The 25,765-nt window shown below is 58.8% G+C and overlaps 1 protein-coding gene and 1 long non-coding RNA gene across 3 annotated transcripts in view, besides 2 other annotated features; one reads left to right on the top strand and one right to left on the bottom strand.

The window, feature by feature from the left end:
* ELFN2 (extracellular leucine rich repeat and fibronectin type III domain containing 2) overlaps positions 1 to 25,765 on the bottom strand; it is an 86,836-nt gene that overhangs the window by 19,213 nt on the left and 41,858 nt on the right. Inside the window, exon 3 of one of the 2 annotated variants that reach the window (NM_052906.5) lies at positions 8,104 to 16,140. The exons of the other annotated variant lie outside the window; for it this stretch is intronic. Within the exon in view, the coding sequence (NP_443138.2) occupies positions 13,216 to 15,678 (2,463 nt within the window). The 5' untranslated portion in view covers positions 15,679 to 16,140 and the 3' untranslated portion in view covers positions 8,104 to 13,215. Of the gene's footprint in view, positions 1 to 8,103; positions 16,141 to 25,765 lie in introns of those variants that run through there. 2 annotated transcript variants of the gene reach the window in all.
* Positions 8,182 to 9,148: an enhancer, noted in NCBI's record as "H3K4me1 hESC enhancer chr22:37764078-37765044 (GRCh37/hg19 assembly coordinates)". NCBI's record gives its function as "activates a minimal SCP1, AML or CMV promoter by ChIP-STARR-seq in primed H9 embryonic stem cells {active_cell/tissue: H9 hESC(primed)}" and the evidence as "EXISTENCE:reporter gene assay evidence [ECO:0000049][PMID:30033119]".
* Positions 18,404 to 18,972: an enhancer, noted in NCBI's record as "H3K4me1 hESC enhancer chr22:37774300-37774868 (GRCh37/hg19 assembly coordinates)". NCBI's record gives its function as "activates a minimal SCP1, AML or CMV promoter by ChIP-STARR-seq in naive H9 embryonic stem cells {active_cell/tissue: H9 hESC(naive)}" and the evidence as "EXISTENCE:reporter gene assay evidence [ECO:0000049][PMID:30033119]".
* Positions 20,376 to 22,503, top strand: LOC124905114 (uncharacterized). Its single transcript, XR_007068094.1, has 3 exons — positions 20,376 to 20,454; positions 21,013 to 21,108; positions 22,254 to 22,503. It is a non-coding gene; the product is annotated as an uncharacterized LOC124905114 (long non-coding RNA).

Consider the following 25,765-nt stretch of genomic DNA (forward strand, 5'->3'; position numbering starts at 1 on the left):
GAGCAGGGCTACCCCACGGGCAGTGTGCTGACAGCAGCAGCTCAGGAGGAGTTCTGCAGTCATGTTTATACCCACTTTTCATCACATGCAAATTAAGGGGCAGGTTATTTAGAAATTTCTAGAAAAGGAGCTGTAACTTCCAGGTCATTGCCATGGAAAGGGGCAGTAACTTCCGGGTATTGCTATAGACAAAGGTAAAACTCATGGTGCTGGTGGTGGGCATGACTTCTGGAGAGAGGTGCTTTCAGGGCCTCTTCCTGTTTTAGCCACTCTTCAATCTGGTCTAGAGTTGAGTCTCCGTCTCCCACCTCAACCACACTCCCTGGTGGTCAGTCCAGCCCTAAGTTCATAGTCTGGCCTGGGGTGTCTCATCATGCATTTATGGGTGTAGAGGCAGCCAGGCCTGGGATGGGGACATGAGCTCCTGGAGTCAGGGAGAGTGGGCAGCCAGCCCTTGCCTGCGTTAATCAGCATTTGTTGGGCCTCAGTTCCCTGGTCCATACACGGAGGGTAAAAGTAAGTACCTTTTCCTCATTGGAGTACAACAGAACTCAAACGGCCTCATGCCTACCTCATGGCTCTCTTGTGAGGTGGCACTGGAAGCTCTGTGTGTGAGCACAGTGCGGACACACAGTGGGTGACTCGTCCCTCAGTGAAGTCCTCCAGTTAAGAGCCGTGGACCACGTACCTCTGTACACCCCACGCCACCCCTGCTTAGCAACCTCCATCCGGCTGGCACAGGGACAGCTCAGGGTGAGACTGAGGGGAGTCGATGATCAGCTGTCAACAGGGAGTCAGTGGGGAGACTTCCACTCTCAGGTCCTAAAGTCAGAAAGCTCCTTAGACCGAAAGCAGCTGGGAAAGCAGGGGCCAAAGACAGGAAATGGGAGCTGCAGAAACTGAAATATCAGACACAAAACAGGAGGCAAGAGCAGCTCTGGCCATGAGGCAACAAAGCAGAACAAAGAAGAGGCTCGTACAAGGCAGAACAAAAATGGAGATGAAGAACCAAGATGGCCCAGAAGCCTCACTGCAGTGGGCAGAGTGAAGCGCGGCGCTCCCCTCTAGTGCTATGTGATGGGTGGACTGTGCCCTCTGGAATGGGGTTTACAGCAGGGACTGAGCCACTCGAGGCTCCACTGTCTCCTAGGGTTACTTCCCGCCTTTAACCCTCACCTGAACCATGTCAAAGGACCGTTATAAACAGCTAAGGGACAGCCACATCCCGGCAGCTCCCCAGAGACAGAGGTGCTGTCTCCTTTAGGCTTTCCCACCACAGGTGCCAGCCAGGGCTGGTGCCTCACATGGCATGTAGAAGAAGACTTGTGAGTTGACCCTCAGAGCAAGAAACTAGGAAAAGCAATGGGGCCATGAGATGCTGCTGAGCAGCAGTAAAGAGAAAAATATGCTTTTTACTTAGCTGGAAAGGGCAAAAGGAAGACACTCCAAATGTAAAGTGACTTTCTGAGCCCCCCTCCTCCCTACCCCCTTATCCTGCCCTCCATGAGTTGCCAGTTCCATCCCACCTTCCTCCCACCCCCAGGAGAAGTTCCTGCCAGCCCCACTCAACTCCTGGGCCCAAGTGACGCCATCTCCCCTTCCACCTCCCCAGTCCCCGCAGGGTCGTTCCCTCCTCTGTGAGCAGCCTTCCAAGCCCACCCTGCTCCTGCCCAGACACAAAACAGCAAAACCACTTCCTCTCCCTTTTCCTCCATGTATAGCCTTTTCCTCCAAACAGTGGGCCCATCCCACACCATCTGACTTCTACCCCCAGGCCCCATTAACTCAGAGCCCAGGCCTATCCCTAGTATTTCCTAGGCCTGGGCGTGAGTACAAAGGGAAGCCCAAATCCTGTGTGTCTAAATACTGAAAAGTTCTCCATTCAGCTAACAAACTGTTAGAATATCCTCCTGCCTTGACAAATGTACCTTCACGATGACCTCTAACAGGTTTGAATTTCAAATTCCTGGCCTCCCTAAATGTGGTGGCCTATGGAAAGTCAAGCCCCATTCTCCGGCCCATAGGACACCCTCTTCTCGCCCACAGCACTATCTCACAACTTAAAGGGTCTCACAGGCATGCATAGAGACTGCCACCCCACGCATTCAAGCCCTGCCTACACCTCCCACACGCAGCTACTCCTTGGTCATCTCTCATGCCTAGGAGTGCCCACATGGGTGGCACGGTCCACCCTGGGAAGGACAGGCCTTGGAAACATGTCCGGGGCCAACTGGACAGTCAATCCTGGCATCCCAGGTGCTTGGAGCATGGTCAAGTGGAAAGTGTCTGGGAATGCCCGTGGGCCCTGCAGACTCATCAGCCCGTGGGGAAGAGCAGGGGGCTAGGAGAGGGTCAGAGCAGACCCTTCTCACATATATGCCCTGTGGCAGGGACCCCCTTAATCCTGGTGCCACCTGCCTCCTCCTCCCCCCGTCTCTGGGTTATAATCTAAATAACTGCCAGACGTAACCTCTTCTTCCCTGATCATGCTTCCTATGACCACAGGAAGGCTCTCCCCGTTTCCAACCCTTATTTTGGGGGGCTCATTCTTCCCATCTTTAAAGGAAAGATTTGGAGCAGACATCTCAGCAGGAACCAGAATTTTAGCAACAAGACACGAGATGCAGGGGTTGACAGGGCCGGCACAGGCCCCAGGATTATTGTACAGGTGGCATCTCTCGACACTCCACTGGCCTAAGGTTGGGACGTTGGGCCATGCCCGATCTGGGACTCGGGTCTTTGGGCCCTGACCTCCAGGGGAACAGGCAAAGTTTGGGAGTAAAGTGGGTTAGAGCTCCTTCCAGCTCTTCTGGGTATGCTGTGCTTGCTTGGGCCAATTACTGTCTCTGAGTCTTTCCCCCAAAGTGTAGAGCAGGGGTAAAGCCCCTACTTCATGGAGCTGCCGAGGAAATAAACACACCCTGGTCCACACACCAGATGTGAGGCATCAGCCCAACCCTGCCAAACCCTCTTAAAGCTGCAGGACAGATGTTTGGGCTCTACAGATCAGATGCTCTTCTGAGAGCCTTGGAAGGAAGCAGTGAGGCAGAGAGATGCTTCTACCGCCATCGTCCCTGCCCTAGAATGAGAGTCCACAGCCCATTGCCAGCACCCAAGGGGTACCCCTGCAGCTGCTGTGATCCTGGCAACAGCAGCCCAGGGCCCCCCGAGGTACCGATTCATTCCCTCAGCAGCCCCATGAAGCAGAAACAGGTGGCAGCTCCCTTGGTGGGTCAGTCCTGCGTAGTTATTTTAAAAGTCAGTTTGAAAAGGCTACCCCTGAGTCTGGTCTGCAGCCCTCCTGACAATTCCATCCACCACTTGGTTTCCTCTTGTGAATTTTTTTTTCCTGCTTAAATTAGTTACAGAGAATTCTGTTCTCTGCAATAGAAACCGGACTGAAGTCTATAAATTCACAGCCATGGTGCTTAACATATGGGGATTGAGCCATACAATTTGTTTGAAAAGTAAGTGAGAAGAGAGAGGGGCAGATGAGTGAGTTTTCTCCCCCTAGACCATTGCAGATTCTGGGAGTTATCTAAATCAGGGGAGGCGAGAGTTGCTGGAGGAGTTTCACCCCCCTGGGAACTCCTTCACACGTGACCTTGCTTAGTTTGGCAAGGACGGGGAGGACGGAAGATGCGCGGTCTGAGATGCAGGTGAGGGCAGTTTTAGAGGAGGCCAACAGAGAGAGGGGGATTTGGGGTGGGGACTGGGTAAGAATGGGTGTCGTGGGCTTGGCGCTGACAGCAGGCTGGGGCCCTAGGCCTAGGGAAGGAGAAGGGGCTGCCAGCATATGCCGGAGAGGCAGCCCGGGCCTCAACTGGAGGTTGGGCCCTAGGAGTCTAGCCGTGAAACCCTCCAGGCAGGAGTGGTGGGGAAAGCAGAAAAGCCCTAGCTTCCTGACATGTCCCCACATGCCTGAGGGAGGGGGCAATGGCTGAGCTCCCAGAACGGCAGGGCCGAGAGCAGCCTGGACAACAAGGAGCAGAGGGTGACCCACAGGTGCAGGGTTGGGAAGACAGTGACAGCGGGAGGCCAGAACCGTCACCTCCAATGCACACCTAGCATCAGGTCTCCTTCCTTGCAGACAAAGGGCCTTGGGAAGGAGGCTCATGGGGCCAACCAGTTCCCCATGTGGGAGTCCTCAGATGCAGAGACCAGGAAGCTGCAGATGGGACCTGCAATCCAGGGGAATTGGGGTAAAGTGAGACCAAGAGCAGAACTCAGAATTGGATTCCCCAGCCCCACAGTCTGGGAAGAATATGAAGAAAACACCTGAGCCAGCAGGGATCACCTAAGCCTCCCTTGGCCAAGGACTAGACAGTAAAGGCTTTCCTGGAAAAAGGGGCTTGCAGACCCTAACCTCACAACACCAATAGGATGGAAGCCTCGGGGAGGCCAGGGTGGTGGCGGCAGCAAGGGAGGATTGCCTGGGATTCAGGGCCAGGCACAGGGCCACGGGGCAGCCTCAGGGATGAGGGGCTCCGGAAGAAGCACAAGGGCTGCCAGGAAAGAGCCGGGGGTGCAGAGCAAGAGAGAGACTGGCCTGGCCACAGCCCCACTGGGACAGCTGCACTGGGCCTGTGTGAGGGCACTCAGAGGGGACAGGGGCCAGCTGGGGCCCAGGCAGGAAAACAGTGAGGGGCCAAGCCCTGGGTCATCCCAGAGGGTCCCCACAGTTCAGCCAACTCCCATGGAGGCAGGAAGGGAGCAGGAAACCCCATGGGCCACCAGAGCCAGCAGGACACAGCTCCTGTAGACACAGGCCAGGGATGAGTGCCACGCTGTGACACCAGTCACAGGGAATAGCTTAGGACAAGGGAGTTCATTTAAAGCAAGCCATAACAATCCAGGCCAAATCCAGGGGCCTTCCTGGAAGAGGGGTTGGTAGCAGTTGGAGAACAGGAGTCTGAGAAAAGGGCAGGTGGGCTCTGCCTCTGGGAAGCAAGGAGGCTGGGGCTGGGCGGTGGGCCCCAGGCTGCCCCCGAACAAAGGCTTGGGCAGTTCAGCCTGAGGTCACTGGATGCTGACCTGAGTGCCTCAGCCTGACCAGAGAGACAAGGTACCTCCTAAATCTGAGAAGGAGCAGGAATGCTTCCGGGCTGTGACAAAAATGAACAGCAGATGGTGGGAGGGCACCAGAGGAGCAGGTGGGGCAGGGGTCCAGGACAGGCTGCCCAGGCTGAGCCCAGAGGAGAGAACCAGTGGGTCCCACAGTGACCCTGGACCCACCAATGACAGGAGCAGGAGGAGGCCAGCCTCTGAGACACTGGGCCTGGGGCTGAGTGCCTGGAACCCTGCCTTCAGAGACTAAATAAAGGAGACCCTGAGAACCAGTGAGATCCAGTGATCCCCCAAACCCTGCAGCCACAAGGGCTCATTTTAGGCTCACCTCTGGAAAACATTTATAGTTGTTGAGGCAGGGGGAGCTTGAGGGAGGGGAATATTCAGCTAAACAACTAAACAGAAAAGGAAGTTCCTGGCCCAGTAGCTACAAGGGTCACCAGAGTCACCTTGGAACTGTCAACTCCTTCAAACCAAGCCCCAGCAGAGACCAGGGAACTGTGCTGAGGACACCTAGCTTCCCTGGAGCCCTGCTGCGGGGAAGAACATCAAAGAAGCTAGAGAAGGAAGCCTGCCCGGGCTGGAGAGGGCCGGTGGTCGGTGAAGTTTGAGTTACAGATATCTTGGAAAAAAAGAAGGAAGGAAAAGGAGGAAGAACTTATATACCAGCAGTTTAGCCCTTGGGCGAGGCTTGAGAAGTGCACCCCACTTAGAGGGCATGACACAGAACGTGCCAAAGTGGGGTGCCCCTGGCAACTATGGTCCTGTTTGCAGCACCCAGGTCCTTGTCCCACCTGAAATATCCAGTTCCTGGGGCCCAGCCAGCAGAGAAGCCTGAACCCAACATTATCCACGAGGTACAGCCACACTTAGAGACATTCGTCCAACAGATGGAGGAACACCCCTTCACCCCAGAAAAAATAACACGTTTATGCCATGAAAGTTCACCTTTTTGTCATCTATATTTTGTGTCACGATATCTGAGCACGTGTAGCGTTTCAGGTATTTGCGAATGTCCTTGAGCACTTACGAATAAACTGATTATTTGCAAGTAAGGCATTAATTCAGAATTGGGGTTTTCTTTTAAGTAATGGCTCACATGTTAAGATGCAAGCACCGGTGAAAATGTGTGGGCTCACGGCGTTTGCTCGGTTTTCAAATAATTGAAGTGTGCAGAAAGGGAAGCAGATACGCGACACTTATGAAGCGGGGAGTAGCTAAGGACATTTCCCTAATTGCATTTGTAAACAGGACCAAAATTAGCCCAAAGCCCCAAAACATGCATGTTAAATGTGCTCTGTTTAGAAACAGAATCACTTCTGAGTTGAAATGAAAAGGCAAGGGTGTTTGCATTTGTAACATTAGGGAATAAAAGTGACTTTCTAAGCCTAAGAACTGTTGCCGGATCTCCACCCACCGGAGCAAAGCCATCCCGGAGGACACTTCCACACTCCCAGGGGCCACAGGGCTCCCCCAGCCCAAGGCCGGCAGAGGCAGCTGAGGGGAAGGGCCTGGACTTGGACTCTCGAGGTTCGTTGACCCCTTTGATCACCTCTTAAGTTTCCTGAGGAGTAGAATGAGTCCTTCAACAGAAACAGCTCCTGCTGATGAAGAAAACAGGGACCCAGTGCGACAGGCAGGCAGCTGAGCAGGGGCTCCTGGAGCCCAGGGTTGGGTCCGGGGACCATAGGGCAGCCCCAGCTGAGGGGCCTGAGGGGACAGAGCCTGTCAGGGCCCAGGCCCTACCTCTCTGCGCCTCCCACAAATGTGTCCCACCGTCCTCCTCCTCCTCCCTTGGTGCAGGCTCACAGTGAAACCTCCCTCACGAAGGAGGCCTGGGACTGGCAGGAAGCAGAGCAAAGGAGGGACCCTGGCTGGCTGTGGCCCCCTTGGGACGGCTGCACTGAGCCTGTGTGAGGGCACGTGGAAGGGACAGGCGTCCAGCTGGGGCTCAGGCAGTAGAAGGTGAGCGGCCCCAGGCCCTGGGCCATCCCAGAGGGTCCCCAGAGTACAACCAACTCTTAATGGAGGCAGGCAGGGGGGCAGGAAAGCCCTGTGGGCCACCAGAGCCACTAGGACACAGCTCCTGAAGACCTAGGGCTGGGCTGAAGGCCACAGGGTGATATCAGGGAATAGCTCAGACCCACAGAGTCCAGAATACCCCATAGCAATCCAGGCTGAATACAGGCTTTCGTGGAGGAGAGTTTCGTAGCAATTGGAGAACAAGAGTCTGGGAAAATGGTAGGTGGGCTCTGCCTCTGGGAAGCAAGGAGGCTGGGGCTAGCAGGTAGGCCCCAGACTGGCCCCGAGCAGAGGCTTGGGCGGTTCAGCCTGCAGTCCACTGGACGCTGACCTGAGTGCCTCAGCCTGACCAGAGAGACAAGGCATCTCCTAAATCTGAGAAGCAGCAGAAGCCCCGAAGGACCAGAGAGGATCGCTTCCCAGCCATGAAGAACCGCAGCAGATGGCGGGAGGGCACCAGAGGAGGGGTGGGCCAGGGGCCCAGGACAGGCTGCCCAGGCCAGGCGTGGAGGAGGCCCAGTGGGTCCCACAGAGACACTGGACCCACCATAGACAGGGGCAGCAAGAGGCTGACCTCAGAGACCGTGGTCACTGATGGGGGGCTTTTCTCCCGGGAAGCAGCTGAAGTCTAGTAATGCCCCCACATGGCCCTGCCTCTCTGACAGGGCTCTGAATCCCGGGTGTGGGAGGCCAGGGCAGCAGAAAATCGAGTGACAGCACACAACAGAGGGATGTCTAGGCTTTTGGGAAGGGAGGTCATCAGGCCCCCAACCCATCAGACGGCGCAGTGTCTGGGTGCACACTGACCCTGGAATTGAGTTTCCTGCTGGCCCCCTCTCCCTCTCTCTGGCAGACCGCCTTCTTTTTTCCTTGACCGCAGGCAGTGACCCCCACCCTGTCCACTAAGCCTTAGCCCCATGACTGGGGCTCCCAGTGGGAAGGGAAATGGGGAAAAGGGCACCGAGCGTCATGGCAGTGCAATGTGGGAGGAATACAGCATAGACCATGGCCCCGTAGCTTTAAATAAGAAATTTATTGCAAATATAGAAATTGATTCTCTCCATACAGGAATCTCCGAGTTGAGGAAAACAATTTCGTGCCATTCAGTTTTAAAACAGGAAATTGAGGGAAGGGAGAGGCAGATACAGGGAAGAGAAAATAAAGTTAACCCCCACCCCCAAAAGAAGAAAAGGAGAGGGTTCAAGGCCCTCAGAGGAAGGAAAGTTTCGTAACACAGCAAGGGTTCACAGGTTCAGAGCCCAGGGCCTGAGCCCAGCTCTGCAGGACCCAAACCAGGTGCCCAACCACAGCCAACTTGGGGACTGGCGGCTCCTGAGGAAGGGAGGGAGGGAGGGAAGTGTGGCCGCCACTGCAGGAACTCCAAGCCCCTGTCCCAGCCCTGTGCTGGAGTGTGGAGTGGCAGAGGGGCAGAGGAAGGAGGAGCAGGCCCAGACCATCCTGCCCGTCCTACAGGACCCCCTTCCTCTCCCTCCTGCTCAGCAGGACTGCCTGACCTTTAGTGAGGCCTGAAGCCGCCTCTGGAGGCAAGCAGTATGGACCCTGGTTTTGTCTTAGAAGGGGCACCCAGGGTCAGGGAAGGAGTGTGTCAGGATGGAATCTGAGCATGAGAGTTAGAGGAGGTCCCCTCTCCTGGGGCTCAGCCACCTCTGGAGCAGCCACCTTGTCAGACAGGAGAGGTGGCAATGGGGCCAGCCAGGCAAGGCTGCCCTAACCTTCACACTGGCTTCCACGGGCAAAGTAAGCCCCTCAGGGCTGAGCTTCCCCAGGCTCCCCGACGGCTTGCCCCGCCCATCCACACTCATGGAAAGGGGGCTCTGCTGGGCCAGGAATGGGCAGGGGCAGGGTAGTAGGGGACAGAGGCGGTGCTTGGGGGACAGGCAGCCACTGCAACCCCACTCCCTCTAGTCTCGTCTTCACACCCACCCACCCACCCACCCTTCTGGCTCCTCTTGTCATTCACAGCTTGGCTCCCTGTCCCCCCATCCCACACAGGATGCTCCCTGACCAGCCTTGCCCCTCCCCCATCACCCTATTTTAATTTTCTGCAAGGCGCCAGTCACTAGGGAGCATTGTGTCTTATCCCTTCCCTGCACTTAGGCCCCTTATAAGCTAGGACCTGTCACTGGTGTCCTTAATTCCTGATGCCATCCCGGCCTCAGCACTGTCACAACCGAGTTTGTCAGCTCTAGGTCTCCTTTCCTCTCCTTTCCGTCTCTGCACTTCTGTTCACCCCGCTGTTACATTTCCAGGAGGGAGTGGGGCAGGCGACCAACTTCCAGTTGAGAACATGGGTGACTCTCGGCCAGCCTGATACTCCCCACTGCTGCTGCCCCAGCTGCCTCCCGGGGACGATCCAGGCCTGGCCTTCCCAAGCAGGTCTCTTTACTCCCACCCTCCTCGCTCCCCTGACAGCCCTTTTCCCAGACCTACCCAGACACGGGCTCCCCAGCCTGGACACAGGCTGCTCCCACAGGCCTCCTGCACTGCCTCAGGAGGGGAGCCCAGGTGAGGGATTCTTTGGTGGGCAGAGAGAGACTCTTCCTGCCGCGGGGAAAAGCAAGGCCGGGACCCGTGACGAGGTTTCCCCACCAACCAGGCTTTCTTGCCTTCATGCCAGACCTCTGTGTTTTGCTACTGGAAGGCCATAAGCTCCAACAGAGGGTTAGCTGCACCTGCTGTGCCCTCCCAGGAAGGAGCAGACCCATTGTGCTACTTCCCAGAAACAGCTTCAGAGGAGATTCTCCAACAGAGGCAGGCAAGCCCAGGTGTGACCTTGTTCCGGCCCAAGGCAGGAGGCCTCCCCGCAGAGGTCCAGGGCGTGGCACCCACACATCCCTCGCTCCACCGGGCCTCCATCTCCCCTCCCTCCCTGTGGCCCCCCCTGCCCTCTTTTCCTGGTGTCTGCCCTGCTGGCCTGCCCCAGACCACAGCCCAGCTCCACCATGCTCATCATCATCACAAACCCAGACCTTGGATGGCAACATTTTGTGAATACTTCCCTCCCGCCTGGGAAAAACTCATCCTGAGCAGGACGTGGGACACAGATGCAGGCCAGCCTCCGGGTGGGCTCTCCCCAAGCTGAGCAGTTGGGGCTCTGGCCTGGCTGGGAGGCCAGAGACCCGAGTCTTAGACCCCGCTCTGCCTCACAAAGAACCACATGAACTGGGTCTTCAAGGCCAGTTCCCCTCCTGGATCATCAGAGTCCTGCTCTTTGGAAGGGCCCCTGTCCCTGCAGTCAGAGAGTCTGAGGTTTCCTAAATATCTTCACGCAGAAAGGATGGGGAAATGGCAAGCGCAGGCCCCTAACTCCTGCTGCTGGGAACCCTCCCTGGGGCCCAGCCCAGGCGTGCTCCTTCTTCCCACGGGTTCCTTTCTCAAAGCCCCCACCCTCTCCCTGAAGCCCCCCACGAAGCCCCAAGCTCCTGGCCTCCTACACTCAGCAGTGTGACTGATCCTCCACCCCAGCTGGCCAGCCAATTCACCAGGCCCGTCTGGGAGCCCTGACTTCCTCATCTACAAAACGGGAACAAGCGGGACGGACAGACAGTCCCTTCCACCGGGACAAGAGCCCTTGAGGAGGCTTCCCTGGGGCTGCCCTCCCTGGCATGGAGGAGGGGAAGGAACTGGGGACAAGGGAGGTGGCAGTGGAGAGAGGGAGGGAGGAAGGGAGGTGGCACATGGGCCCAATGCTCAGAAACACAGGAGGTGGGTGTGGGGCAGGGCTGTGTCTTGGTGGCACCTGTTTTGGGTCTGTTTTTGCAGAGCTGACCCCTCCCTGGGTTTCAAGAGCTGCTCGTCAGATCACAACAGACAGAATGTGGGAAAGCAGGGCATCAGAGAGGGGGCGGGGGAGTCTGGACAAACTGGCACATACACGACAGATGTTTGCTCAGAAAAATACAGTAAAATCGTCATGCAAATATAACAGGGAGTCTGCTTCCTCACACCCCTGGCTTCTCTGCCTGCTTGCTTTTCTCAGTTGTGCCAAGGGGGTGTGAGGAGGGGTTGGGGGGCAGGTTTTGGGGGCCGGGGGAGGAGGTCTGCTCCGCGTATCCATGCCGCCCCCTCCCCTCCTCGCCCCAGGAGAACAGTCTTTTCTTTGCAAATGTCACCCTCAAAGTGAGCCCTGGGCTTCGTTAACCCCAAAGTTGGTGTGAGAGAGGTACTCAGCTGAGCCCGAGCCTCCTAGCCCTCTGCTGTCCTCCCTCACCCCCTGCCCCCAGCAGGAAGGTCGTTGGGGTCCCCAGGGGATGGCACTAGCTTTCCTGGTCAGAGCCCCTGCCCACCAACAGTGCCGGTCTTGGACCCATTCCAGTGCCTACCCTCGCCCCTCAGTCACACTCCCCAAATCTCAGGAAACCCATGTGGGCCACAGGCCCTAGACTGGGGGTCTCTGGCAGGGGCGTGGGGAGAGCCGGGGCCCCCCAAGCTGAGGTGGGTGGCAGCCAAGCGACATGTTGCTAGGCGGGCAAAGCTGCTAGTAGAGGCGTCCCCACACCCCGCTGGGCCAGCTCCCACCCAGAGGTGAAGGATGATGGACTCCGGCCCATCAGCATCCTGACTGGTCAAGACCCCAGTCTCAGGACCGCAGATTTGCCTCCCAAAAGAGCTGGCCCCAGGAGCTGCTGCCAGGCTGGCCCTCCCTCACCACCCTCTGCCACCGCCTACATGGACAGAGAACCCCAGAGCCCAACGGTCACTCTGGGCACCAACTGCCAGGCACAGGGTTACCATGGTGACAGAGGCTGGCTGGGAGGGGCTGGGGCGCCACGAACCCAGCCTGCTCCTCAACCCTCTCTCGGGTGGGGGCCTCACTGTTTGTGCTTTGTTTGATGTTGGGTGGGGGGGTCAGAAAGAGGGAAGTGGCCATTGCCACGGAAACATGGGAGCCCCTCTGGCCAGGGGGCCAGGCCTGGATGAGCAGCCCAGAGGGGATGGGTGAGAAAGCCCTCCTTCCCCGGGTGGGCGGCTGAGATAGGAGCCGAGATCCCACGATGGGGTCGGGCAGGTGGGGACACAGGCCATGGGGACAGGCAGGAAGTCCCCCATGACAGCTCCTCCCTGCAGCCCTCCAGGCATCACAGTGCACCGCTGCCCTTCTGCGGTGGGCAGGGGTCTCGGAGGACCAGAGAAGCTGGGGCCGGGAGCCTGCACCTGAGACGTCCTGGGAGCTGGCCTGCCCGCCACACGCCCCACTCTTCCCAGGCCACGTGGAAGACACTTGAAGTGGGCTGGTGGAATGTCGCCCTGCCTCGGCTCCTTTCCCGTCAACAGGACCCTCTCCCTTCTCCCGGGTGCCGGCATAGGGGTCAAAAGCCCCCCAGGATTCTGAATCACAGCTGCACACTCTGGGGGCACTGCCATGTGGCTTTCTAGGAAGAAAAAGCACCTGCCTGATTCCCAAGTCCCTCAGCCCCAAGGGACCACAGCTTCGGAAAGGGATGTGGGGTGGGCACAGGGCGGGCAGGGGTCCACAAGAGAGCTGCAGGGGGTTCCGGGACAGCACTGGGCTGGGAAGTTGGGGGACTTGAGGCTAAGCTGCTGTGTGACCCTGGGGTTGTCAACTCCCTTCTCTGGGCCTCAGTTTCCCCCCCTCTCTAAAGTGGAAGGAGACATTGCCCGATGTCTAATGCTAAATCTGCAGGTGACTTGACTCCCAGCTTGGGAAGGGACCCTCTCCCTGCCCTAGAGGGGCTTCAGTCCCTCTCTACTCCAGCTTTCTTGACCCCCACACCTGTTTCTAGCCCCAGACCCCCCAGACCCCACACCCTCTCTTGGCTTCCTTCCTCCCCCCGCCAGCCCCCCGGCCCTGCACACCCCAGCAGAGTCCCTGGGCAGCACAGTAAAGACGACTGGTTTCGGTATCAGTTTGTAAACTTTAAGGAAAATGTGTCTCTGTTTTCCTGTCCGTTATTGTCGGATGTTGGTTTGTTCACAGTCGGGTGGTGGTCAGGTGTGTGTGTGCGTGCGTGCGTGCGGGTCTGCATGTGCGTCCTCTCCTGGGCCTTGGCCCCCGAGTCTGCTCCCCGCCCTGGCCGCCTGGACCCTTCCCCCAAAAGGCCCCCAGCCCTCTGGCTCCGACCTCACCAGGGAGGAAGGGGGGGGTCACAGCTTCTGCTGGGCGGAGACCCCCTTCCAGTAATCAAGGATGTCATGCAGATCCTCGTCCTTGGCGAACTGGACCTTCTTGCGCAGGGCGTGACCGGCGGCCATGTACACCTCCTCCCGGTGGTGCTTCTTGTAGGGCCGGAAGCGCTCCCAGATCTTGTGCGTGCTCTCGGATGAGTACTCGGGGCTGGAGGAGTACCCTGAGTAGTAGTGTCTGGGGGAGAGCTGCGAGTAGGTGGAGTCACGCTTGGAGCGGGTCAGCGGCTTGAGGAAGGACACGCGCTGGCTCAGGCTGTCGGCACCCTCCTCGTAGTACAGGGCGGGAAAGCTGTGCCGGTGCTCGCTGCAGTGGTAGGCCGGCTTCACCTCCAGGTGGTGGATGCCCCCGCCCCCGCCGCTGCCCCCGCCGCTGCCCGCCGGCACCAGCGGGAGCCGGTCCAGCGGGCTGTTGAGGGGGCTGCCCTTCTCGATGTACTTGGAGTCGCCCTTAGCCAGCCCTGTGGCGGCCGGATGGTCGGGCACGTCCAGGCTAAAGACCTTGGCGCTCTTGATGGAACCACTGGACGACACGCTGCAGGTCTTGCGGGTCACGGCCGCGTCGGCGCTCAGCTGGCGCTGTAGTGGGTGGTGGGAGCTCTCCTTGTAGGGAGGCGAAAGGAAGCTGGGCCGCTCCAGGGCCCCGGGGCCAGTGGCTGAGGAGGCGGCAGCAGCTGCAGGGAGGGACTGGCACTCGAAGGCCAGCTCGGGGTCCCCACTGCTGCTGCCGCCTCCCAGAAAAGAGGCCGAGTCCAGCTTGAGAGCATCGATGCAGTTGTTAATGATCTGGTTGACCTTGTCCACCTCCTTGGCAATGGTGGAGATCTCTGCAGCCGAGCCCTGGCCGTTCTCGAGGTCCGGGAGGTCATCCTCGGGCCGAGCCAGACCGTCCCCGCCGGCGCCTGTGCGCACCTCGATATAGTTGCCTTTGGTGGCTACCTTGGGTGTGTCCAGCCCGGCCTCCAACCCCTTGGCGGTGGGCAGCTTCTCCCCGATCATGGAGGGGATGGAGGCCATGCGAGATACGGGCAGCACGGGAGGCTCGCCCAGCTTCTGGGCGGCGTGCACAATGGAGCCGGCATCCACATCAGCCCCGTAGCGCATCTCCAGGATGGTCTTCTTGACGTTGACAGACTTCTGCTTCTCCTCCTGCATGCGCCGCTTGCGCAGGCAGTAGTACACGGCTCCCAGCACGATAACCATGCCAAAGAGGCAGCCCAGGATGGTCATGATGTAGTGGGTGGTGGTGGAGGTGCTGGGCGCCAAGTCTCCGGGGACGGGGTCCCGCGTGGTGAAGGTCAGGCAGGTGTGGTTGAAGCGGCGGCTGTTGCGCAGCGAGGTCACGCAGAAGGTGTACTCAGTGTGCGCCCGCAGTTTGTCCAGCGTCACGATCTCCTTCTTGTTCTTGAGGGTCATGACGTCGGAGAAGTAGCTGTTGTTGTACTGCACGAGGATGTACATCTTGCTGTAGGGGTGTGGGATGATGACCACCAGGGTGGCCGAGGTGAACGTGACGTGGTGCAGCTTGATGGCTGGCCCTGCCGACGCATCCGTGGTGGACGAGGCCGGCGGCTCCACCGAAAGGATCTCGTCGGGGTTGAAGCCCGAGTTCTCGTCTGGCTCCCTCTGGGCGTCGGTGGAGTAGGGCGTGGGGTGGCTCACGGGCCGGGCGGGCAGCGAGCCATTCCGACACTTGGCCTGGAGTACGGTGATGGCGTTGAGGCTGTGGTAGGGCCGGGGCACCAGCAGCGGGTAGCCGGCAAACTCCCGCGGCGACTCACACTGCAGGCGGTCGTAGTTCTTGGTGACGTTGTTGAAGACCACCAGCCAGGCCAGGAAGCCGAAGAGGTCGCACTCACAGTTGAAGGGGTTGCCGGCCAGCTCACACACCATCAGGCTGGCGAGGCTGGCAAAGGTGGCACCGTCCAGGCGGCTGAGGCGGTTGGAGGACAGGTCGATGCTGATGAGGCTCGGGCACTCGGAGAAGGCGGTGGGCGTCACCACCTCGATGAGGTTGTGCTGGACAAAGAGGAACTGCAGGCGGCTCATGCCTCGCAGCATGCCCTCCGTCAGGTTGCTGAGCTTGTTGTAGCCCAGCTGCAGGACCTGCAGGCTCGACTGGCCCAGGAAGGCACCGTCCTCGATGTAGGAGATCTCGTTCTTGGTGAGGTTGAGGTCGGTGAGGTTCCCAAAGCGGTTGAGCGAGGAGTAGAGCACGGCTTTGAGCTTGTTCTCGTTGAGCCGCAGGTCGTGCACGGTGCTATTGATGTGCTGCGGGATGGTCTCGTAGGGCGGCTGGTTCTGGCTGCAGATGGCCAGCCACACGTAGCCCTTGTCGCCCTCAATGAGCCAGCAGTCGGCACGCACGGCACCCGGCCGGCACACGCACAGCAGCGCCGCCGCGCACAGCCCCAGGCGCAGCATGGCGCTGGCCTCGGAGTGAGGGGCCAGGGCAAGGCAGGGGGTGCCTAGCGGCCAGAGGCTGGGGCTGGCAGTACAGTCCTCCCTGGGGCCGCCACCATCTTGGGGGCGACCCCCAGCACGGGGGCCCCAGGCAAGGTGGGTACAGCTAGTGCCAACTGCTGGGGATCTTCTAGGGTGCTACAGCAGGCACTAGGCCTGGCTAGGGCTGGGGGTGGGGGCCCCACAGCCTGCTCCCCACCGCAGCGTTGCTCCTTGTCTCCTGCTAGGAAGGTGCAAGGGTTCTCAGGGCTTGACTTCCTCTCCCTCCTCCTCCTCCTCCTCCTCCTCCTCCTCCTCGTCTTCCTCCTTGGCTTCCGGGCTCAGAACTTCAGATGATTCCCACAGGAGGCTGGAGAGTGCCGCACTGAGCCAGGAGTGAGAGAGATGGGGGCAGGAAGGAAGAGACCCATCTGCACCTGGTTCCTGAAAGGCAGCATCGAGAGCGGGTGACAGATCAGTGTGAGGGCTCAGAGCAGCCCCGTCAAGCTCCAGCGCAGGCCCCCCATCCCTTCTCCACACCCCGTCCCAGGGCCTCTGTGCCAGCAAGCACTCTGGGGGTCCCTGTTACATCAAAGAAGCAGGGGGTTGGTGGGTGGCAAGAGGCAGGAGGGGGCCCAGGGGCTGGGACGGAGGGAGACAGAAGAATAGGGGGAGTAGGGGCAGAGACTGAGGATCATGGGCACAGAAGGGACACTGGAGAGAACAGGTGAGCACAGGTGCAGACACACACCCCCAGCACCCTGGAGGCCATGCTCATCCCCCTACCTGCACAGAGACCCACATGCCCCCACATGAGCCAGACCTCCATGGCATGCACACGCAGACAGCTACACACACACACACACAAGCACACCTACAATCTGCACACGACAAGCAGGCCCATACACACGTGTCCACGTACCCAAGCGGGCACCCCTGAATCCACAAAAAGAATTAAGAAGCCCAGCAAAATGCCTCCTTTCCTCCATGCCCAAAGATAAATAATTCATTTGTTGTGTAACTGCTCTTGTTCCAAAAATAATTCCCTTGTCTCAGCTTCCATGGGGGAGGGGGAGCAGAATATCGCAGCTGTGGGGCCCCCCAAGCAGAGGGACACAGAAGCCGGGGTCTCCCACAGTGGGAGGGCGTGGGGAGACCTCATCTCACAGGCAGAGCAGAGCCAAGGGAAAGAAAGGCCAGACTCTGGGAGGCCAGAGGTACCCCAGTATCATCTTCCCAAAGTGCCTTCCCTGGAGCACCTTGATCCTTGGGAGGGGGCCAGCCTTCTGGAGTAGCACGGCTGAGGCCCAGCTCCCCTTCCATGGCTGGAGAGTCAGAGGCCCAGAGAGGGACAGGGAGTTGCCCCAACTAACATAGCACAGCCTAGACCAGGATCAAGGTTCCTAAGGCACTGAGCCCAAGTCAGATGTCAGGAGGCCTGGAGCCCCACAACTGCTCAGCCCAATTAGCTAGGTAAACCACAACATCTTCTATTTCCACAGCTACAAAGTGGGTCCCTTTCTGGCCCACTTGATGGGGGAGAAGAAGCAGGGGACTCATGCCGCCCATTTGCAAGATGCAGAAGGGCAGGGGAGGCACCACGGGGGTCACAGCGGCAGACCATCTGCATCAACCCTCACTTTCCAAGTGGGGAAACTGAGCCACAGACTCAGGGGAGACTTGGCCAGGTTGCCCAGCAAGCTGGACACAGCCCCTTGGACAGACCTCAGCCCCAGCCCCCACCCTGTGCTCTCAACTATGGGAACAGCCCAGTTCTCCCTCCCTCTGCCCTGGGCAGGGGCCAGGGATGTGAAGATGAGGTCTGAGAAATCCACGTTTGGACACAGAAAGCCAGAGACTGTTCACAAGAGCCACCTCTGCCTCTCTCTCCTCCTCCTCCTCCTGGGAAAGTCCAGGAAAGAGAAGAGTGCTTAAAAAAAAATTTAAACCTTTGCCATTAAAGCAAAACCAATTTACAGCACTGAGCCCCAGAGGGCTGGAACAGAGGAAAGGGAAATGGGTGAGGGGTCGGGGGTTAATCCCACAAGAAGTCCGAGGTGGGGATGGTGATAGGTGAACAGGGAGTCCAGATGGCCCGCTGGACTAAAGGCTGATGCTACGTCAGAGGCCATCAGAGGCTGTGATGATCTGGACCTCTGAGGCCAGGCTCACACCTCCCCAGTCGCTACAGAACCAGCTTGGGGGCACCACAAGGCAGCCAGGCAGGAAGGGGTGCCCAGGCAGCAGACAGCAGCTCTGTCCTTGGCTGTGCTATGCAAAGGTCTCAGGGCTGCAGAGACCTTGGCCCCCGTCCAGCACGGCCACTGGCTCCTGGGGGATCCCAGGCCAGTTCTACCCCTCTCTGAGCCTCAGTTTCCCCTCCCACAGGTAGCAAGGTTGTACTGGAAGAGGCCGAGTCTCCATGCTTGCCACTTCAGAGATCCACGAGCCGGCCTGTCAGAGAACCCTCGTCTGCTCCAATGCAGTCCCTCTTCCTCATCGGGGAATGTCTGGGGACCGCATTTGTATGCAGGTGCACACACAGGTGGCTCAGAGTGCTGATGCAGGGGTGTGCTGACGTGTACAAGTCAAGGATGGGCGGGCAGGCGCGTGTGCACACGTCCTCTGCATCAGCTTCGGGGGCATGTGCTTGTGTGTGCAGGGGCAGGAAGGTATGTGTGTCGGGGACATCCCAGAGAATGCAAGCACCCATCTATGTTATAGTTGGCATGTTTAAGTACATGTGTGTTCTGTGTGTTCTACACGTGTGTGTGCCTACATGCAACTCCAGCCCCTATCCTCACATCTGAGTTGCTCAAACCAGCATCCCCACAGCCAGACCCAGGGTATTGGGCAAAGCCAAGCTGTCTGGAGCCTTGGGAAAGCCCAGGCCCTGCCAAAGGATGCGAAGAGGCTGAGCGTGGAGGGGCATGGGAGAAGAGGCCCATGTGGGAGGGGAGCTAGTCCCCCCACCAGCTCTTCCCAAACAGTCCAGGGTGGACAGAGGCCCGCCGTGCCCCAAGCCCAGCCACTCCAAGCTCTGCCCACCTGAACCTCAAGGTGACCTGCCTGTGGCCCTCTCTCCTCTTCCTCCTGGTCTCCAGGATGGCTTGGGCTGGGCCCAGCTCCGACCCACCCCCGTGACTCAGACGGAGTTGGGAGGAGGCTCCCATCGTGCTGTCCCAGGGGCGTCAGCTGCCCGGTCCCCATCCCGGGCTGCCTGCCTGCCACCCGTGGAGACCTGACGCGGCCAGGGAGGGAACAGAGAGGCCAAGGCAGAGAAGGCGCTGACAGCAGCACTTGGCCCCTAGCCCAGCTGTTCACGCACTCAAGGTGTGGGGGGTGGGGGCAGCAGCCTGTCCTCTCAGGTCTGAGGCTAAGGGTCCAGCGGTCACATGGCCAAGGTCATGCCCCTCCCCTACTCCCATGAGGGTGGTCCTCCCACACACACAGCAGGGGGGACAGGGCAGCACCCCACATACCCAGGTGGTGAGAGACGGGAAGAAGGGGGTGCTGCAGGGAGGAGGTGAGGACTGAGAATGGTGGAAAAGCAAAAATATCAAGACAGCCGAGCAGACAGACAGAGGAGGAGAGAAAAGGAGAAAGCGCGTCTGAGACAGAGGCACCGACGGCAGTGAGCTATCTAGATGATAGATGGGGGGCGCAGGGGACACGGGCACCTGCTTCCCTCCCGCAGCCCAGAGGCCCGGGAGACAATTGACACCTGGTCTGGCTGAACCACGAGAATGCAGCCTGTGACCAGCCCAGAGGGAGAGGGGAGCAGTGGAAGCAGCTGTGGGGCGCAGAGGCCTCTTCTGCCCAGAGCCCGGTGGCACAGCCCAGGAGGGGTGCAGCCATGCAGGCAAGCAGGCATTGGGGGGTGGCATGTTCCAGCAAAGAGCAGGGCTCCCGTGCCCTGGCCTGACTGGACCCCTCCCCTAGAGCTTTTCTCCCTTCAGGCCCCAAGTGCCCCACCACCAGCTCTCTTTAAGGGGCACTCTCTCCTTCCACCACAGAAGAAACAGCTGCACAGCCAGGGTGCATGCTGTTATCGGGGGCTCCCGGTCTGCAGGCTGCATGCTGTAGGACGTCCCCTCTCATGGGGACATTCATGGGCAGAGAGGAGAGTCAGTGAGACCTCACAGCACTTGCTGCTCTGAGGGCAGAGCTGGTGGTGCAGGGGTCTCAGTTCAGAGCTGGGCAGGACCACAGACCCCAAAGTCACTCTCAGCAAATGCCTCCCCTCTCCGGTTAGTCAGCTGCCCAGTGATCCCGCTGGGTTTGTGCCCTTTCCGCCCGGGTGCTCCTAGGTCCCGGGCCCCTCTCTGGACTCAGAACTGAGAAGACAAGGAGTCCTGGCTCAGTCCCACCCCTGCCCCCCCTCGGAGGGCAAGCCTGGCACAGCGCCTGGCCTCTGTGAATGACAGCCGCTGTTGTTAATGGGGGTTTTATAGTTATTTCTTCACAACCCTCATCACCCAAGATCAGGGTTCCCCTGGACTCAGGCTTGCTGAACCTCCGGGTCACATCCTCTCAGCCCCCCGCTATAGGCTGACTCCCAAGCTTCCCTGTCAGGGGAGCGTCTGGACCCCGGACCCGGGGAGAGCCCCCACTGCACTGCGGCGTGTGGGAGGGGTTGAGGGGGGTTGGGCTAACTCCCCAGGCTGGGTGAGAGGGTGAACAGAGCGAGGCCAGCTGGGGACGCAGGCAGCGGAGGTCAGCAGGGAAGATGCAGGCCCAACCAGCTCTGAGACCCAGGTAAGCTGCAGGCCCTCTCCGAGCCTGTTTCTCCCCGTGTGGCAAGGTGAGTACCACCCAGCTCCAGAGTTCCCCCGAAATCCCAGACATGACAGAGACACACACGCTCAGTCCAGGGCAGGAGGCCCCACAAACACACCACCCCAGGCTCCCGCTTGTGTGGCCACACTCTTGCAGGGACACCCGTCAGCTCCAGGAGCAGGTGGGGGGAAGCGCAGTCTGTGTCCTGGCCTCCCAGGAGCAGGGACGTGAGGCTCGGCCAGGGAAATCTCATTTGCAGCAGCTCATAAGCCCTGGCACAGGCTCTTCCCTGAGCCAGGCTGGCCAAGGCTCCCGGAGGTGTCATTGTCACCATCCGTGTCATTGCCATTACTGAGGATTAGGAGGACCAAGGACTCCTGGGGCCCAGCCAGATCTCTCAGGTAGGCAGCTGCCTCACCCCTTGCTGCTGGAACCCTAGCACCAGGACAGGAACTCTGCCCTCAGGGACAAAGCCTGCCACCCCCCGGGGAAGAGACTCAAGCCGGGGGTCTGAACACCAGTCTTTTCACTGCCTAGAGCTCCTTGGAGCTCCCTTGTCATGGAGCTCCCTGGGCCTCAGTTCCTTGTCTGTAAAATGGGAGGATTATACCTTCACCATGGAACTACCGTTCGGTAAGTTAACTTTTTGGATTTCCAGCACAATGAGCCCTTACTGCAGGGCATAGATGGTGCGGGGAAGGGTCCTGGGATTGAATGCTGAGCTGTGTGACATCAGGCACATTACCTAACTCCTCTGGGCTTCAGTCTCCTGGCCTCTAAGACAGTCATATACCCCTTATCCAATGCTCCTTTGTGTCTGACATTTGATGTTCCTCGAATCTTATATCAACCCCACACAGCTGGTGCTGTCAGCCTCATCTTACAGATGAGAAGACAGAGGCTCTCTCCTCCCCGGCTTCCCTCCAAAGGGCTGGGACCATGGCAGGGGCGGGACATGCACTGAGCCAGTCTACTGGGTTTTCTGCCCCTGTCAGAGGAAAGCGTGCAAGGGGGAGTTGTCCACAAGCCTCGAGAGATTTCGATGTTTCCATCAATCAGGAAGTACTGATTCCAGGCCAGCTGTGCTCCTCAAACCCCTAGGCACACTCCCCACCCCAGGACCTTTGCTCTTCTCTCTGCCTGGAATGTTCTTCCCCCAGAATCCCCATAATCCACCTGAGATCTCTGCTCAACCACTCCCTGCCCCTGACCCCCACCTTCTCTAGCCCCCCAGTCTGAGATAACTCACTCCTCACCCAACCCAGGCTTCGGTCCCCTGACAGCAGCCAGCACTACCTGACGTCACTTAATTCTTCATCATCGCCCTGCCTTGCCCCACCCCCAGCAGAAAAGCAAAGCAGGATTTAACTTTGTTCACTGCTGTAACCCCCATGCCTAGAACAGGGTCAGACGTACAGCGGGTTCTCAGGACATGCTGTGTGGAGTGAGAGCTCCAGGCTAGGGATGGTGGGGAGATCCTGGATCCCCTGACTCGGCTGAGTCAGTCCCAGCTACTCCGGAGGCTGAGGCAGGAAAATGGCATGAACCCGGGAGGCGGAGCGTGCAGTGAGCCGAGATCGCGCCTCTGCACTCCAGCCTGGGCGACAGAGTGAGACTCCGTCTCAAAAAAAAAAAAAAAAAAAAAAAAAAAAAAAAAAAAGAATCTTCAATATCAGAGGGAGAAGCCCCCCCTGTGATGGGGTGCTCATGATGGGGCACAAAATGTGCCGAGCCTTCCTTTTAGTTTCACGGCCGTCCTTATGCCTCCCATTTTACAGGCAAGGAACTGAAACTCAGAGAGGTGCAGTGATGCACCCAAGACCACACAGCCAAGAACCCAGGCCAGCCTGAGCTAGTGGAACCAGCAGACTTTCCAAGGCTCCTCCCTGGAAGACGATGTCCCGTCACCTGCAGACCTCCAGTAACAGGGCTCTCAGCGCCCACCTAAAGCTACTGGTTCTCCTTTTTTTTTTCCTTTTCTTTGCTCACTGCCGCCTCTGCCTCCCAGGTTCAAGTGATTCTCCTGCCTCAGCCTCCTGAGTAGCTGGGACTACAGGTGCATGCCGCCACGCCCAGCTAATTTTTGTATTTTTAGTAGAGACGGGGTTTCACCACGTTGGCCAGGATGGTCTCCATCTCTTGACCTTGTGATCCGCCCGCCTCGGCCTCCCAAAGTACTGGGATTATAGGCGTGAGCCACCACGCTGGCCTTTTTTTTTTTTTTTTTTTTTAAAAACAGACTCTAGCTAGCTCTGTCACCCAGGCTGGAGTGCAGTGGCACGATCTCGGCTCACTGCAACCTCTGCCTCTAGGGCTCAAGCAATTCTCGTGTCTCAGCCTCCCAAGTAGCTGGGACCATAGGCGCATGCCACGACGCCCAGCTAATTGTTTTGTATTTTTGGTAGAGATGGGGTTTCACCACGTTGCCCAGGCTGGTCTTGAACTCCTCAGCTCAAGCGATCCACCCGCCCACGACTACCAAAGTGCTGGGATTACACCCAGCCACCGTACCTGGCCCTGATTCCCTTCTTGAACAGCTCTGATTACTAGAAATTTCTTCTTCTATTACAAAGCCAAGTCTGGTTCCTTGTGCTTCTGTTCATGGGTGCCACCTTGCTCTCTGGAGCCACTAGGGACGAGGCCAGTACCCCATAAAGACCCTTCTGACATCTCCTGGTCTGTTATCACTCTGCTTATCCAAGCTAAACAGCACCACGTCCTCTACCTGCTCTTCCTTCGCTGTGGTGTCAAGTCCCTCCTGCCCTTGGGTACAGCTGCCCGGGTCATGCTTGCTGTCAAGGTCCCTCTTACAACGTGTCGCCTGGAGCCAAGCACCAGTGCCGATGCGTTCAGAGCAGGATCAGCTCCAGAAGCCTCCACCTCCCTCGGCTGGGCTCCCTGCTTCTGTTCATGCGGTGAGAGTAAGGAGGCACCAGCGTCCTGTCCTCACCTTGTCCTAGATGTCAACCAAACCTCTAGGCCCCTTCACACACACGGCCAGGCAGCCCTGGTGCCCTCACAAGGTCCACGGGCAGCTCTGGGCAGTATCTGTTTAGGTCTCTTCTGAGGTGCTGGGTGTTCGTCCACCCCCATTCAATCATGTCTTGTTAGTCTCAGCCCTGCACACCAGCTGCTCTGGGTCCCGGGGGAGCTGGCTCCTGCCCCTCACTGCTTTGGCACCTGCTCCGGGCTCTGTGTCATCCTGCACTGGGTGAGCAGGCCATGACTGCATCTGTGTCACAGGGAAACAGGGACCGGGCCCAGGCTAGGGGCCCTGCCTGCAGTTCAGCCCTGGGCTGGGTGAGGCATGCTGCCCAAGCAGCCGCACACCCACCCACGTTGCTTACGCGTTCCACATGTATTCCCTGAACACCTACTATGCCCCTGGCCCTGGGACAGACAGATTTGCCTCCCCTTCACTAAGCTGCCTTCTTACTCAAAAGAGCTTAACAAGAACCACACAGCACCAACAGCTGACAGCCAAGGCGTCAGGGTCTCTGCAAGGCCTTGGTGCTTTGGACGCGCATCTCCAGGTGTAACCTCAGCCAAAGAAGGGGCATGGGGCTGGGCCGCTGAGCCGCAGTGTGACCTCGGGCAAGTCAGCACCTCATTTCCCTGGGCCTCAGTTTCCTCATCTGTTTGGAGGAAAACCACAGTACACATGTGTCTCTGGTTTGCTGGGGCCACCCCAAAGCCCTGTCACCTGCCCACCGTGTCACCCCCCCATGGCTCACCCGGTCCCCGTGCCTCCCCTGCTCACAGGGTGCCACAGTCATCTTTACTACCTACTCCATGTCCAGGCCTTGGTGGAAGGAGAGAGGCAGGGGGTGGAAGGTTTTACCAAAGGTCTTGGCCTTGGCAAACCACCCTGTGGCCTGACAGGAGACACCTGAGCCTGGTTCTAGGGGCAGCTGTAACCACATGGCCCGTGAGCAGGGCCCACTCCCTGGCAAACCCCCACCCCAGCCCACCCACCACCAGGCACCTGGGGATAGGATTGTCCCACAGCCAAGGATGACCTGTATTAAAAACCCACCTCCTGGCTTTCCCAGAATCCTCCAAGCTACTCAGGAGACTGCCTCCCTCACCCCTTCTCTCCCCAACCTGGCCTTTACCTCTCCTCCCCTGGATCCCACCTCCCCCATGGACTGTGCCTCCCACACCTGATCCCACCTTCCCAACCTGACCCCTGGCCTCATCCCATTTGACCCCACCTCCCCACCCCCCACGACCTCTAGCCACTCCCCACTTGCCCTTGCCTCCCCCACCTGACCCTGCCTCCCCCACCTGACCCCTACCTTCTCCCCACCCGACCCCTGGCCTCTCCCCACCTGACCCCGCTTCCCACTCCCAACCCCTGCCCTCTCCCCACCTGACCCCGCTTCCCACTCCCAACCCCTGCCCTCTCCCCACCTGACCCCAATTCCCACTCCTGACCCCTGCCCTCTCCCGACCTGACCTTCGCCTCCCCCCGGCCCCTGCTGGCCCCCTCAGCTGCAGCCCCTGGGCACTACTCACCAGTGTCCACTGGACCCGCTCTTTCACCAGTGCCTGCGCAGCACGGCTGCCTCTGCCTGCATGGCCTCCATTCATTCATTCAATAAACATTTATGGAGCACCTACTATGTACCAGGCGCCGGCTAGGCCCGCCCTCCTGGCTCTGCCTCCTCCACCTGCTCCTCCCCCAGGGTCCCAAGGGGCGAACGCTTCCCTGCCCTCCAGTACCCTCAGGGCTGTCCCAAGACAGGGGCAGTGCATGTGGGGACCGCAAGGGGGAAATGGAGGCTCCAGTGTCGGACAGCGAAGCCCCCTGAGAGGTAGCCCGGGGAGGGATGGGCGGCCTCCGACAAGATGAAAAGTCTTCAGTGCTTGCACTGGCTGGGCCTCCGCACTTCCCATATTAACTCATTTAATCCTGAGCCAACTTTAAACATCTTAAAAGCACTATCACTATTCCCACTTTGCAGATGAGGAAACTGAGGCCTCACAACTGCTACACAGTGGCTTCCAGCCTCCACGGCCCCAGGCTCCGTTCAAGAGCTGCTGTGGGATCCTGTTTCATCTGGATGGTGGTTTTCACATTTTTTTAATCAGTTGCCAATATTGAAAACTTGGCAGATTTTATTTCAAAAATCCTCATTTCTGGAATCCACTGAGATACAGGGAAGATCTGGCTTCCCTGGGTCTGCGTCCCCGGAGGCACAGCAGTGGCACAGGCCGGGGCAGCATCCAACCTCCTCCCTGCCTCTCTGGTTTAGGTGGCCAGCTGACCCCTGCACACTGGAGTTTA

Source organism: Homo sapiens, chromosome 22 (assembly GCF_000001405.40).
Source record: "Homo sapiens chromosome 22, GRCh38.p14 Primary Assembly".
Taxonomy (NCBI): domain Eukaryota; kingdom Metazoa; phylum Chordata; class Mammalia; order Primates; family Hominidae; genus Homo; species Homo sapiens.